Source organism: Homo sapiens, chromosome 22, assembly GCF_000001405.40.
Source record: "Homo sapiens chromosome 22, GRCh38.p14 Primary Assembly".
NCBI classification, from domain to species: domain Eukaryota; kingdom Metazoa; phylum Chordata; class Mammalia; order Primates; family Hominidae; genus Homo; species Homo sapiens.
This window is the reverse complement of record NC_000022.11, coordinates 22,644,580-22,656,960: the sequence shown is the minus strand read 5'-3', so window position 1 is coordinate 22,656,960 and position 12,381 is coordinate 22,644,580. Positions and strand designations below refer to the sequence as shown.

At 56.0% G+C, this 12,381-nt stretch overlaps 1 protein-coding gene, 1 pseudogene and 1 further gene across 6 annotated transcripts, besides 1 other annotated feature; all 3 read right to left on the bottom strand.

Annotated features, from left to right (window-relative positions):
• Positions 1 to 12,381, bottom strand: part of IGL (immunoglobulin lambda locus) — an 896,838-nt gene that overhangs the window by 265,953 nt on the left and 618,504 nt on the right.
• Positions 2,881 to 5,362, bottom strand: LOC129026 (gamma-glutamyltransferase-like activity 1 pseudogene; annotated as a pseudogene).
• Positions 5,058 to 6,032: an enhancer, noted in NCBI's record as "H3K27ac-H3K4me1 hESC enhancer chr22:22993399-22994373 (GRCh37/hg19 assembly coordinates)". NCBI's record gives its function as "activates a minimal SCP1, AML or CMV promoter by ChIP-STARR-seq in naive H9 embryonic stem cells {active_cell/tissue: H9 hESC(naive)}" and the evidence as "EXISTENCE:reporter gene assay evidence [ECO:0000049][PMID:30033119]".
• GGTLC2 (gamma-glutamyltransferase light chain 2) lies at positions 9,063 to 12,347 on the bottom strand. Of its 6 annotated transcripts, NM_199127.3 has the most exons (6): positions 12,253 to 12,347; positions 10,440 to 10,649; positions 10,080 to 10,207; positions 9,923 to 9,978; positions 9,671 to 9,820; positions 9,063 to 9,366 (listed from the first exon to the last, which is right to left on the bottom strand). In NM_199127.3, exons 2-6 carry the CDS (start codon positions 10,613 to 10,615, stop codon positions 9,220 to 9,222), a joined length of 657 nt encoding a protein of 218 aa, NP_954578.2. In that variant the 5' UTR covers positions 10,616 to 10,649; positions 12,253 to 12,347; the 3' UTR covers positions 9,063 to 9,219. The 6 variants fall into 6 exon arrangements, with proteins under 6 accessions (NP_954578.2, NP_001378839.1, NP_001378840.1 ...); NM_001391910.1 differs by having other exon boundaries at positions 9,671 to 9,978; NM_001391911.1 differs by having other exon boundaries at positions 9,671 to 9,978; positions 10,440 to 10,627.

The following is a 12,381-nucleotide window of genomic DNA, read 5'->3' as shown; positions in this document are numbered from 1 at the left end:
GAGCCACTGCTCCCAGCTTTTAACATGAGAGTTATATTTACAATCAGGATGCTTTCTTTACCTCACACAGAGACATGCATTGATAGGTTATTACATGAATTTTTAATTGACTCAATGAATATTTATTAATACCCATGGGAAATAAGGCTGAATGAGACATCGTCTCTCTGCTCATGTGAGACAATTGAACAGACAGGGACAGGTGATAGGGATAATAGCAGAGCAAACAGGACCTGTAGCCAAGCATATAAGATGAGTGTCTTCTGTGGAGAATGGAGGTGGAGGAGGCTTCTTGGTGGAGCTAATTTTGGGGTGTCCCCATAGGAATAGGCAGGCTCTCACTAGACATGCAGGCGGTGGGTGTGGAATTAGGCAGCATCTTCCCCAGAGTGAATGGCAGCTGTCCACATCACCGGTTATCAGCCTTCAGGACAGAAGGTGTCGTGCCCCTGCTGCTGTGGGGCTGAATCACCTGAGACTTTTTGAGGAGAGGTCCTGGGCAAGAGAGAGTCAATGTAGGGCCACCTGTGTCCAATGGCCAGTCAATGCTGACTTTCAAAAAATTGGCCCCTCCCCATCATATATAGAAACTCTGATGGGAGTTCCCAGCCTCGACATCATCAAAGTCCTAAATCACCCTTTCCCAGGCTTATTTTTGTTTTCCCTTTTGCAGTCACACAAGGGAAAACAAAATGTTTCCCTGTGTTCTATGGGAGGGCCTGAAGGACATTCTGTTTAGCAAATCCCTGAAGCATATTCAGGTGACAGAGCACTAGCACCCCGGAGAAGCTCCATAGTCTAGTGCAGATGGTAGGAGCCTCTTCTAGAAGGTACTGCCTGGCATTAATGAGATAACACTATCTGGAATTAACCAGCCAGTGAATGTGCCCAACCATCTTAGGCAAGGTGGACACAGTGAGAACGAGCAATTCAGGGTGGCTGTCCTGTGGTCTGCCTTGCAGAGGGCAATGCAGAGGGTTCATCATTCTTGGCACCAGGAGCTAGGCAGCCACAAAGGGCCCTGCTCATCACAACAGTCAGAAGTCACCCAGGATGGACGAGGGCAGTAGCCACATGACAGCACCAGTCTCAACTTCAGCATCCAGATCCGAGCCAATTTTTCTCACCTAGAACCCACTGCAAAAAGGCATCCCAAAGAAAGTTCCATGGGGCAATGGAAAAGCTGGGGTCAGCAAACCATAGTGACTACCTACGTTTGTACATAAAGTTTCATTAAACAAACCCATATCCCTTCATTTATGTTCAGTCAATGGCTGCTTTCATGCCACAAGTGCAGATCTGAGTCGCTGCAAGACAGACCTTGTGACTCACAAACACTAACATTTATACGACCTGCCTTTTATGTATGTGATGAATTCCGACTCTCTCCCCATTTCACCCCATCAAAAAAGGTAAATAATAATCATGCTTCACCCTTCATTGGGAGTTGCATGTAATAGTGTTACCTTTAAAGGCCTAAAGATTCTCAGGTTGTAGCAGGACTTTATTTCCATCTAATTTCTTGGACTAGCTCCTATAAACATTAAATGGATTCTGGAAGGTGAAAGTAGATTTCTACAACTCCAGTAAGGTCATGGTCCCATCTGCAATGTCGGTGCCAAGTGTAGCATCTGCTACAGCAGAATAACATGGCTGCAGGTGCATAGAATGCAACCCTGATGTGGAAACTGAGATCTCTATTCCTCCCAGAGAGTAGGCTCAGACACATGTGCCTTCATGTGGGATGGAAACAGTATATGTTCACATTTTATGCCCTCAGATTTATTAACTCTCTCTTTCCTGTCATGATATAGTCATGGGGTCTTGGACCACCTGGACACCCAGGAGAACGTGGTTTCACCATGTTGCCCAGGCTGGTCTCCAACTCCTGACTTCAAGTGAGCCACCCCCCTCAGCCTCCCAAAGTGCTGGGATTACAGGTGTGAGCCACCACACCCAGCCAAAAATCACCTTTTTTACAAGGATCAAAAGAGTCATTATGCTGGAGATGACAGACCTCACTGTCACCATGTTCCTTTTGTATGTCTACTAGGCACGGTGCTGGGTCCACACTCGCAGAAAGCTTAGGAGCTCGCACCCAGGGGCTGCGGCTGTAGCAGAATCCCAAGAATAAAACCTGGTGCTGAAAGAGTAGGAGATGAGGCCGGGTGCCATGACTCACTCCTGTAATGCCAGCACTTTGGGAGGCCAAGGCGGGCGAATCAAGAGATAGAGACCATCCTGGCCAACATGGTGAAACCCCGTCTCTACTAAAAATACAAAAATTAGCTGGGCGTGGTGGCTGGCACCTGTAGTCCCAGCTACTCAGGAGGCTGAGGCAGGAGAATCATTTGAACCAACGAAGCAGAGGTTGCAGTGAGCTGAGGTCGCACCACTGCACTCCAGCCTGGTGACAGAGCGAGACACCATCTCAAAAAAAAAAAAAAAGAAAAGCAGGAGACTGAACTCTGGGAGGGCCTCCTGGTGAGAGGTGAGCACAAAGGGGAGAGATGGAGGCAGGAGCATGGGCTTCTGGTGGCCCCAGCAGACCCTGTGGCAGTGTGGCCAGGGTCCTCTGCAGGGAGGAATCTTGGCCAGGATGACACTGTAGCAGGCCTCTTCCTGAGGCCTCCAGCCAGCCCGGCCAGGGTCCCAGCGTCCAGTGACCCCTGTTTCGCAGCAGCAGCTGGGGCCAGCCCCAGGCTCTCTTCCACTCCCAGCTTCTTAAAACAGGAAGTGGAGAGAGTTGTTTGATAAAACACTGGGGGAAAACCACATCCTCTCTTCACCAAGGGAGAGTTCGAGGGGATGCCGGCAGAGGGAGCTTTAGAGTAGAGACCCCTACCCAACCAGTGACCGTCGCGCACACAGCAGGGCATGCTATGGAGACCCCCAGACAGTCACTCGGGGAGACCCAGCAGGTCCAGACTCTTCAGAGATCTGTGGCAGCAGGTCCCCACTCCCAAAAGCCACGTGCCCATGGGTGGTCTCTGGTGCCTGAGACCCCAGTCTCATTTGCATCTTTGCAACTTCGAGTTTAAGTGGGTGTCGCATCTCTGCATGTCCTCCTGAGCAGAGGAGGGGCACAGCCTGGGGTGGCAGCTGGCGTCAAACCCTCAAATCCCCTGAGAGCCACTGGGGAGACTAAGCAGTCCCCAGCCCCCACTTGTCCCTGAGCTGCCATTCTCAGCCCTGTGGGAGGAGACAGAAAGCCCTGAAGAGAAACCAAAGGACCAGGTCAGGAGGGGCTGGAGGGGGGGTGGCATGAGCAATCAGGGCAGGGAAGGATGGACAGATGGGGGAATGGAGGGAAGAAGGAATGAATGAAAAGGTGAATGAATGAGCAAAGAGAGAGAACGGCCACTCCTCCCTTGCTTTAGTTTACAAAGTACTGGGATCCTCCCAACAGCCTGCAAGACAGAATTTCTGGGAAGCAGACCAGGTGGCTGGCAGGGAGGGGAGGCTTGCCCTGGCTTTTGTGGGCCCAATGGGAGGCAGGGGGCAGGAAGGGGCATCCTGTATGTGTCCTCCCTGCAGCGGCAGCAGCACCTTCCTGGAAGAGGGTCAGGAAACACCCGCTGTGGCCCCTCTCCACCACGCCCTCATCCAGGACACCAAGTATCAGTCACTCAGCTCACGAGACCCAGGCCCTGACTCAGGGAGAGAGGATGTGAGGGGTGGGGCACCGGGCTCCTCAGGACTGAGAGACCTGAGATGTGGCCCCGGGCTGGGTGTAGGGGCAGACTGGCTATGGCAGCATTGTGTGTACCCCAGCAGGCCAGTACCCACGCAGGGAGCCTCCAAACCCCTTCACCCATGACCCTGGGAGAAGACCGCAGCCTTGGAGAATTGGCCTCACTGAAGGGGCCTGCACCGGCCAGCAGGGTCAGCCGGGGCCAGACAGGTTCCCACCTGGGATATGCAAATGGGCCTCCTGAATCCTGGAGCCAGGTATGGACTCACACACCACCATTGTCCCCAAGTCCCCATCTGCCCCACGGGCACACCCTGCCACCTGTTCTGTGCAAGGGCCCTGAGGCTGTCTCCTTGCGCTCAAGTCCTGCAGGTGCTGAAGCCCACACACACGGCTCCTGCTTCCTGGGCCAGTGCACGTGCGCGCACACACACACACATGCACACACACACCCACACATACACATACCCACACACAATCACACACATTCACACACACCCACACCCCCATACTCACACTCACACACTCACACACACCCACAAACACCCACACATACACTCACACACACAATCACACACATTTACACACACCCACACACCAACACACACTCACACACTCATAGTCACACACACTCTCACACAGCAAAACACAATCACACACATTCACACCCCCCCACACCCCCCACACACTCACACTCACATACCCCCACACACCCACACACTCACACATACACACACCCAAACACGATCACACACATTTACACACACCCACACCCCACACTCACACTCACATACCCACACACACACACATAATCTCTCACACACACACACGCTTACACACACACGCCTTCTCCAGGAGGGGCTGGCTGCCAAGGGCCACCCAGCTTCCTCCCACATCTCACTCACTGTCCAATATCCGAGCAGACCTTGGAGTCAGCAGCAACAGCGGCGTGGGCAAAGGCCGGGGGTCAAATGGGGCCTGGTGTCGAGAGAGGACCACAGCCAGCACAATGACAGCCAGCGCCAGCCCCAGCCCCAGCAGGACCAGGCCAACCATGGCTCTGCAGTCCTGGGCCGTGGCTCTGCGGCCCAGAAGGAGAGGGGAGGCCGGTGGGCAGACGGAGGGACAGATGGGTGGGCAGATGAATGGACAAGAAGATGCATAGATAGACTCACAGGTAATTGGACAGATGGACAAACAGGTGGGGGCTGAAGACAGACACGAAGATGGATCGACAGACAGGCCAGATAGCTAGACAAAGAGGACAGTAAGAGAAAGATGGTCAGATAGACAATGGGACAGAGATGGGCTTACAGATGGGCGGACAGACAGACAGGTCTGAACAGCGGGCTGCCAGATGGACAGATGGGCGAATGGACAGACGGCTGGCAGCTGTGGCCAGCTGCTGCCCTCACCAAGTGCACACTACGGAGTGACCAAACTCATGCCTCAGCTTCTAGTTTTCAGCTCCTGCTTGTTGCTGGCAGGAGGCCAGGCAGCAAAGCGTCTGAGGGGAGTTTTCCTTGCCTAGAGAAGTCAGCTGCTGTGTTAACTCCCTCACTGCTGGTAGGTCCAAAGGCCCCACCTACCGCCCGCCAGAGCCCAGGGTCCCACTGTCGCAATGTGCAGGAGAACTTGGTGCCTGTTGCACTGCGGTTGCCAGGTAGGGGCAGGGCTCCCCGGAACCTCCACACCATTTCCCGGGTTCTCAGCAGCTCTAGGAAAGCGGAGCTGGGGCCGCTTAACTCTGCCCTGGATCCCGCAAGGCTGCCCCCCTCCCAGAGTGGAGCCCTGCTCCCCAGCTCTCATCTCTATCCCCTAACCCTCTCCGCATGGCCCAGCCTAGTCAGCATCAAGGTGGAGCTGAACAGAGGCAGAGGGAGGAGGACCCAAGGTGGTGTCACTCAGGACCCGGGTTCAAGTCCTTATGCTTCTGCAGCCTGGCCTGGGTCCCCCCACCCCCCAGGGTGACCAAGGGCTTCCCAGTCTGCACAGAGGACAGGGGGACTTGACAGCATCAAATGCTGGTGACTACAAGATGCCCCTGTAGGGAATGCAGACAGACCATGCCTCTAGCCCTTGGCACCAGGCACCATCCATCCCTGGGACTTGCTGTCCTGGAAATGCAGCATGGACCTCCAGGGAGGGGGGCTGTGCCATGTGGGGGCTCCACCCCGCCTGCAGCTCTTTCCCACCCTGGCTGCAGGTCTGCTTCCCTGAATCCAAATCCGCTACTACTGTGCTGGCAGCGCAGCCTCTCTAGGGACACTGGCCTGGCTCTGTTCTCCCCAGGCCTCAGGGTGCCTAAATGGGAGGCAGCCAGGAGAGTGAGGACCCACTGAGGGGCTCCGTTGACCAGGCTCAGCAGGGGTGCAGGTGATGTGGGGTGGAATCCTTCCCACATGGCCCCCACAGTCCTCCCCGCTTCCTCCCCAACTGAACACTGCCTGCTCCAGATGTGTACACCTGGAGTCTGGGCCCCTCCATCTGGGCAGCAGAGAAACTGAGGCACAGAGACAGACTGTGTCCTTACAGGGCACACAGCCTGCCAGGCCCCTATGTCCGGCCAGAGCCCCTGGTCAGCCTGGGCTGCAGTGATTGTTTAGAGGTAGGCTGTTCCCACGGCTGCCTCTCACGGTAGGGGGGGCCTGTGGACGCCTCCTCCCGCCCCCACCCGACTCCCAAGCCTCAGTGACATTGCTCAACCAGGAACTGAAGTGCATTCCTGGGCTCAGGCCAGCCCACCCACCCACCCGCTGTAGTCCTGGAAGCCCAGAGGCCTGGGCAGCAGGAACAGTGGAGACAGCAGTGTGGGGGACGTCCCCCCTCCTCTCCCCACCATCCTCGTCAGGCAGAGGCCAGGGTGCAGGGACCACCGGAGCAAAGGCCCAGGGAAATGAATGGGTGTCATTCTGGTCCTGACCCGAGGCACAGCCAGGAAGGTCCCTGTGGGGAAAAGAAAGAGATATCAGACTGTTACTGTGTCTATGTAGAAAGAAGTAGACGTAAGAGGCTCCATTTTGTTGTGTAGTAAGAAAAATTCTTTTGCCTTGAGATGCCGTTAATCTGTAACCCTAGCCCCAACCCTGTGCTCACAGAAACATGTACTGTGTCGACTCAAGGTTTAATGGATTCAGGGCTGTGCAGGATGTGCTTTGTTAAACAAATGCTTGAAGGCAGCATGCTTGTTAAGAGTCATCACCACTCCCTAATCTCAAGTAAGCAGGGACACAAAACACTGCAGAAGGCCGCAGGGACCTCTGCCTAGGAAAGCCAGGTATTGTCCAAGGTTTCTCTCCATGTGACAGTCTGAAATATGGCCTCGTGGGAAGGGAAAGACCTGACCGTCCCCCAGCCCGACACCCGTAAAGGGTCTGTGCTGAGGAGGATTAGTATAAGAGGAAGGAAGGCCTCTTTGCAGTTGAGATAAGAGGAAGGCATCTCTCTCCTGATCGTCCCTGGGCAAAGGAATGTCTCGGTGTAAAACCCAATTGTATATTCCATCTACTGAGATAGGAGAAAACTGCCTTAGGGCTGGAGGTGGGACATGCTGGTGGCAATACTGCTCTTTAATGCATTGAGATGTTTATGTATATGCACATCAAAGCACAGCACCTTTTTCTTAACCTTGTTTATGACACAGAGACATTTGTTCACATGTTTTCCTGCTGACCCTCTCCCCACTATTACCATATTGTCCTGCCACATCCCCCTCTCTGAGATGGTAGAGATAATGATCAATAAATACTAGGGAACTCAGAGACTGGTGCCAGCGTGGGGCCTCCGTATGCTGAGCGCAGGTCCCCTGGGCCCACTTTTCTTTCTCTATACTTTGTCTCTGTGTCTCTTTCTTTTCTCAGTCTCTTGTCCCACCTGATGAGAAACACCCACAGATGTGGAGGGGCAGGCCACCCCTTCAGGTCCCTGAATGTTCTTCCTCAGGAAATGATGGGGGAAAGGGCGATGAGAATGAAGGAGAGGATTTAAGTACCTCACCCCCCGAGGTAGTCCTGGGCTGAGCCCCATGGGACCTGGAGAACCAGGGTGTACCCCACCAGTGTGTCGAGTCGAGGAAGCCTCGTGGCCAGCTCCCACTTCTCTTGCTGCTGTGCAACCCAGAGCAAGGCCTGCCCCTCCAGCTTCAGTCTTCTCCCCTGCAAATGGGGCCACGGCCTTTCCTCTCAGGCCAAAATAAGGATTGAGGCTGGGTGCACTGGCTCACCCCTGTAATTTTAGCATTTTGGGAGACTGAGATGGGGGGACTGCTTGAAGTCAGGAGTTAAGACCAGCCTGGTCAACATAGTGAGTCCCCATCTCTATTGGTTTAAATTTTTTTTAAAAAAATTAAATAAATAAAATAAGGATTGAGGAGTGACTTGTACACCATTTGAGCCCACCTCCATCTCACCCCTGCAGAGCCCCAGAGACACAGCCCTGCAGAGCTCAGACCCAGTGGGACTTGACTCCACAGGCATAAAAACCTGTTTGTCTATGGGCCCTTTGGAATCACCAGGTTTTCGGGGCTCCTGAAGGATAGCCCCGACCTGGCCTCACCTGGCCCCTGGCCCCAGTGCCCCTGGTGATATCCAGGTGCTGGGCTGTGATCACCGCCTCCCACCAGCCCACCTCCACCAGCCCTTCCCAGAACCCTGCCCCAGGTGTTGGAACTGTGCACAGAGGAGGGAGCAGGCCCCGAGGGAGGCCTGGAGGGGCTGCGGATGGTGAAGGCTGCTGTGTCTAGCTGTTTCCTTCTGGACCCACTCCCTCTGGGCTGCGTCCCCGGCTGGTCCAAGCCCTGATCCCTGGGATCTGGGGACATCTTCCCGTTTGCTGTTCCCTGAGAACCAGGCCTCCCTCTGGAGAGGATCACAAGCTTGGGTTTCACTCTGGGCTTGCTCTTGGAAACCCCCCAGGGGCGTGGCTCTGACCGAGATGTTTTCCTCCAGCCTGTTGCCCAGTCCCCATTCCTCGGACCTCAGCTTCACCTCCAGTGTCATCGGCAGGGTGAGCTGGACGCCTACGGGTCTGAGAAGGCGCCCGGGTTCCCAGCATCAGCTGGCCACCCTCTGCCTAAGAAAGTGCCAGGGTCGTGGCACCCCCTGGTGGCTGATCCTAGGTAGTGTCACTGCCCAGCCCCAGTAAGGGAGGGCCTGGCCCCAAAGTCCGAGGGATCAGGGTGGAAAGGGGCAGGGCTTGGTGTGAACCTTCCCCTGGCCCCCAGCCATGTGCCTGGCTCTCCCCATGCTGAAGATGCTGAGGCTAGTTCCAGTGTCCGCATTGTGAAGATCTCCGAATCCCACCTCTCTGTTCCTCCCCAGTCAGATGGCTCCATTTCACACACAATACACTGAGGCCCAGAGAGTGGGGAGACAGGGCAGGGAGGCCACCTGGAGCCTGGCACAGTGGCCTCATTTATTGTGCTGCTCTGCTGCTCACAGGGGAAGCCAGTCCCCCAGAGTCCCCTTCCTGGTCCTGGTGAGTATCTTGTCCCTGGATTGCTTGTCAGCCTTGTCCTCCTGGAGCACTCAGTAGCCGGCAGGCTCCCCGCCTTTCCTGGAGTCCGAGGCAGCTGCCCAGCCACCAGCCGTGCGGACGATGGCTTGCACCACAGCGATGAAGGTGGACGCGATCTGGGTGTGATGGTGCCGGGTCTCCAGGGCTGCAGTCACTGCCTGGGGGTGGGAGGAGAGGGGAAGCCTGAGCAGGGCTCCAGATGCCACCTGAACCACACCTGTGTGGTCACAGGCCTCAGCCCAGGTGGTGCCATTTCGGGCCAGGTCATCAGGAAGAGCAGGTTGGGGCCTGCTGGGTCTCACTGGAGCAGGGGGCTTGGCCCTCATGGCACAGGGGCTCCAGATGGCCCAGGCACTAGAGAGAGGACACCAACAATTGTCCACTCTGTGATGATCCAGGCCTCCAGCCCAGGATGCCCTGGGGCCCCACACCGTGACTCAGTTTCTCCAACCCCCGGCCCACCTGGTCAATGTTTCTCTCCACTGTCGTGACGTTGGGCAGAAGCTGGTTGTGCAGCCGGGGCTCCTCCACGGCCCGCTTCACGTCATAGCCGAACCAGAGGTTGTAGATGATGGCCTGGGGCATGGGAGTGTGATCAGCATGGCTTGGGGGCTGTGCAGGGTGGGCACGGCCAGGGAGAAAAGGGGTGACACATATCAGTGCAGTGGCTGTGGTGATCTGTGTGCCCCCAGCAGCTCCCACCACCATCCGGACCTGGCCGTCCTGGCCCACCATGATCGTCGGGCACATTGACGAGAGCGGCTGCTTCCCTGTGGCCGATGGGAGAAGACAGGGATGCCCGTCAGCTGCCTGCCCAGGACACCCGCCCCTCTCCACCCCAGTCCCCCATCCCCAGACCTCCACCCCATACCTGGCTGGATGAAATTGGCAGGTGAGGGGGGCACCCCAAACTCGTTGGTGATGTTGGGAGAGCTGAAGTCATCCATTTCATCATTGAACAGGATCTCGCTGACCGGGGAGCGGACCTTGGAGCCAAAGCTACCGCCCAGCCAGGTCAGACAGCACCTGACCTTGCCTGGCCCAGCCTGGTCCCTATCCACCCACTGAGGCTCAAACATACTCACTGAGAGGCCCAGGATAAGCTACCAAGGTTGGGCCTCAGTTTCCCACCAGGAAAAGAGGTGATGGAGCCACCTTACTGGATAAGTGGGCAGTCCCTGGGCCACCCGCCCCTGGCCCTTTCCCACCCAGGCGGCCCAGCAGCCCCTACTAGAGGTTGATGGTGCTGGTGGCGGACACAGCACTGCCGTCCTCTGCGACGACAGACAGGTGAGCAGTGCCCCCATCAACCGGCGTGTAGAACTCGGGCTTGTAGTAGGAGATCGGGTGAGTGGTGTCGTCAGAGATCTGGGCCCGGAGCTGGGCAGCGAAGAACTCAGAGGTCATGTTGTGGACCACCTGCCGAGACCCCAGAGCTGGCCTGAGGAGGTGGGGAGGGAGGGTGGGGAGGGGACACAGGTCTCAGAAGGCCCCTGACTGTGGCTCTGACCACAACCCTCTGGCACCCACAACCTTCCGTGGCTCCCCAGGACCCAAGGGCAGGCCCAGGATCTTGCATGACCAGTCTGACTCCCTGTCTCTGTCGCATTCCAGCAACTCTGAATGTCTGTCTGCCTGGTCCTCAGCCTCCAGACCCTTGCTGCATTCAATCACTCATTCCTTCATGCAAAAAATATTTCTAGAATTTGCACTGCATGCCTGGAACTGGGGAATCAACAGGGAACAGACACTTAGGTCCTGCCCTCATGCCAAGAAAAACAAACACACACAGGGAAAGTGCTGAAACCACAAGCCAGGTAAGGGGAATCAAGAGGCATGAGGTATGGGCAGAGTGGTCAGGGAGGGCTTCTCAGAGGAGGCAACGTGTGAAAAGAGCCTGGAATGTGGCCTAAATGGTCAGTGCAAAGGCCCTGAGGCAGGTGGTATAGGCTGGTGAGCGATAGGCAGAGAGTGAATGGAGTGGGGTGGGGAGAAGAGGATGAAGATGCAGGCTGGGGCCCATCCCACAGGACCTCCTAGGTCCCATAACAACTGGCTTTTGCTCTGTGCCATGCAGGCTTAGGGCAGAAGAATGAGCAGGCTGGGGAGTGTTTTCACAGGGTCCCTCTGGCAGCTATGACGGGGATAAGGATAAAGCCCAAAGGGGAGGCTGTGGGTATCAACCAGGCAAGAGATGATGGCCTGGGTGGGAGAAAGAGAAGAATCAAGGATGGCGCCGACTAGCGAGGTAAACCCTGCAGAAGGGGCAGGTTTGAGGATGGTCAGGAGCTTGATTTTGGATACTTCATCAGACCTGAAGAGCATGGGTGCACGTATAAAAAAAATAAATAAATAAGCATGGGTTCACGGGCAAGGGCGGGCTGAGAGATGAACATGGAGGTATTGACATTGAGTGGCTGCTGGATGCCATGAGCCTGGCCAAGGTCCCCAAGGCAGTGGCGAGGAGGAGATGAGGAGGTCAAGGAGGAGACAGAGGATGGACCCGAAGGCCGAAGAAAATGCCTCAAGGGAGTTTCAACACCGGGCGCGGTGGCTCACGCCTGTAATCCCAGCACTTTGGGAGGCCGAGGCCTGTAATGCCAGCACTTTGGGAGGGCGGATCATGACGTCAGGAGATGGAGATCATCCTGGCTAACACGGTGAAACCCCGTCTCTACTAAAAATACAAAAAATTAGCCGGGTGTGGTGGCGGGCGCCTGTAGTCCCAACTACTCCAGAGGCTGAGGCAGGAGAATGGCGTGAACCCGGTAGGCGGAGCTTGCGGTGAGCCCAGAGATCAGGCCACTGGAATCCAGCCTGGGCGACAGAGGGAGACTCCATCTCAAAAAAAAAAAAAAAAAAAAAAAAAAGAGAGAGTCTGACTCTGTTGCCCAGGCTGGAGTGCAATGGTGCGATCTCAGCTCACTGCAATCTCCACCTCAGCAGGAGAGCAGGAATCTTCAGTGATCCACGGGCAGATCTGCCGCCATTGTGGGCACCTGTTCCTCCCGCGACCTTTGTGCCCGCCTCTCTCCTTCCAGTACCTATTGCATGACCCCCCACGTCCGCCTCCCGCCATTGCCAGCAAGTGCCTCGCGCGGGTACCTGGCTGCGCTTATTAATCCGTTAAGCTCGCTCTGTCACGGGCGCCGTGATGTGCTCACGCGCCCGCT

Bases quoted from the DNA above. Each gene is read 5' to 3' on its own strand.
- GGTLC2 (NM_001391910.1), bottom strand. From the start codon at position 10,615: ATGACCTCTGAGTTCTTCGCTGCCCAGCTCCGGGCCCAGATCTCTGAC. The intron at 10,208-10,439 runs GTAGGGGCTGCT...GCTGGGCGGTAG, and splicing joins ACCAGCACCATCAACCTCTA to CTTTGGCTCCAAGGTCCGCT. The intron at 9,979-10,079 runs GTATGGGGTGGA...CATCGGCCACAG, and splicing joins TGCCAATTTCATCCAGCCAG to GGAAGCAGCCGCTCTCGTCA.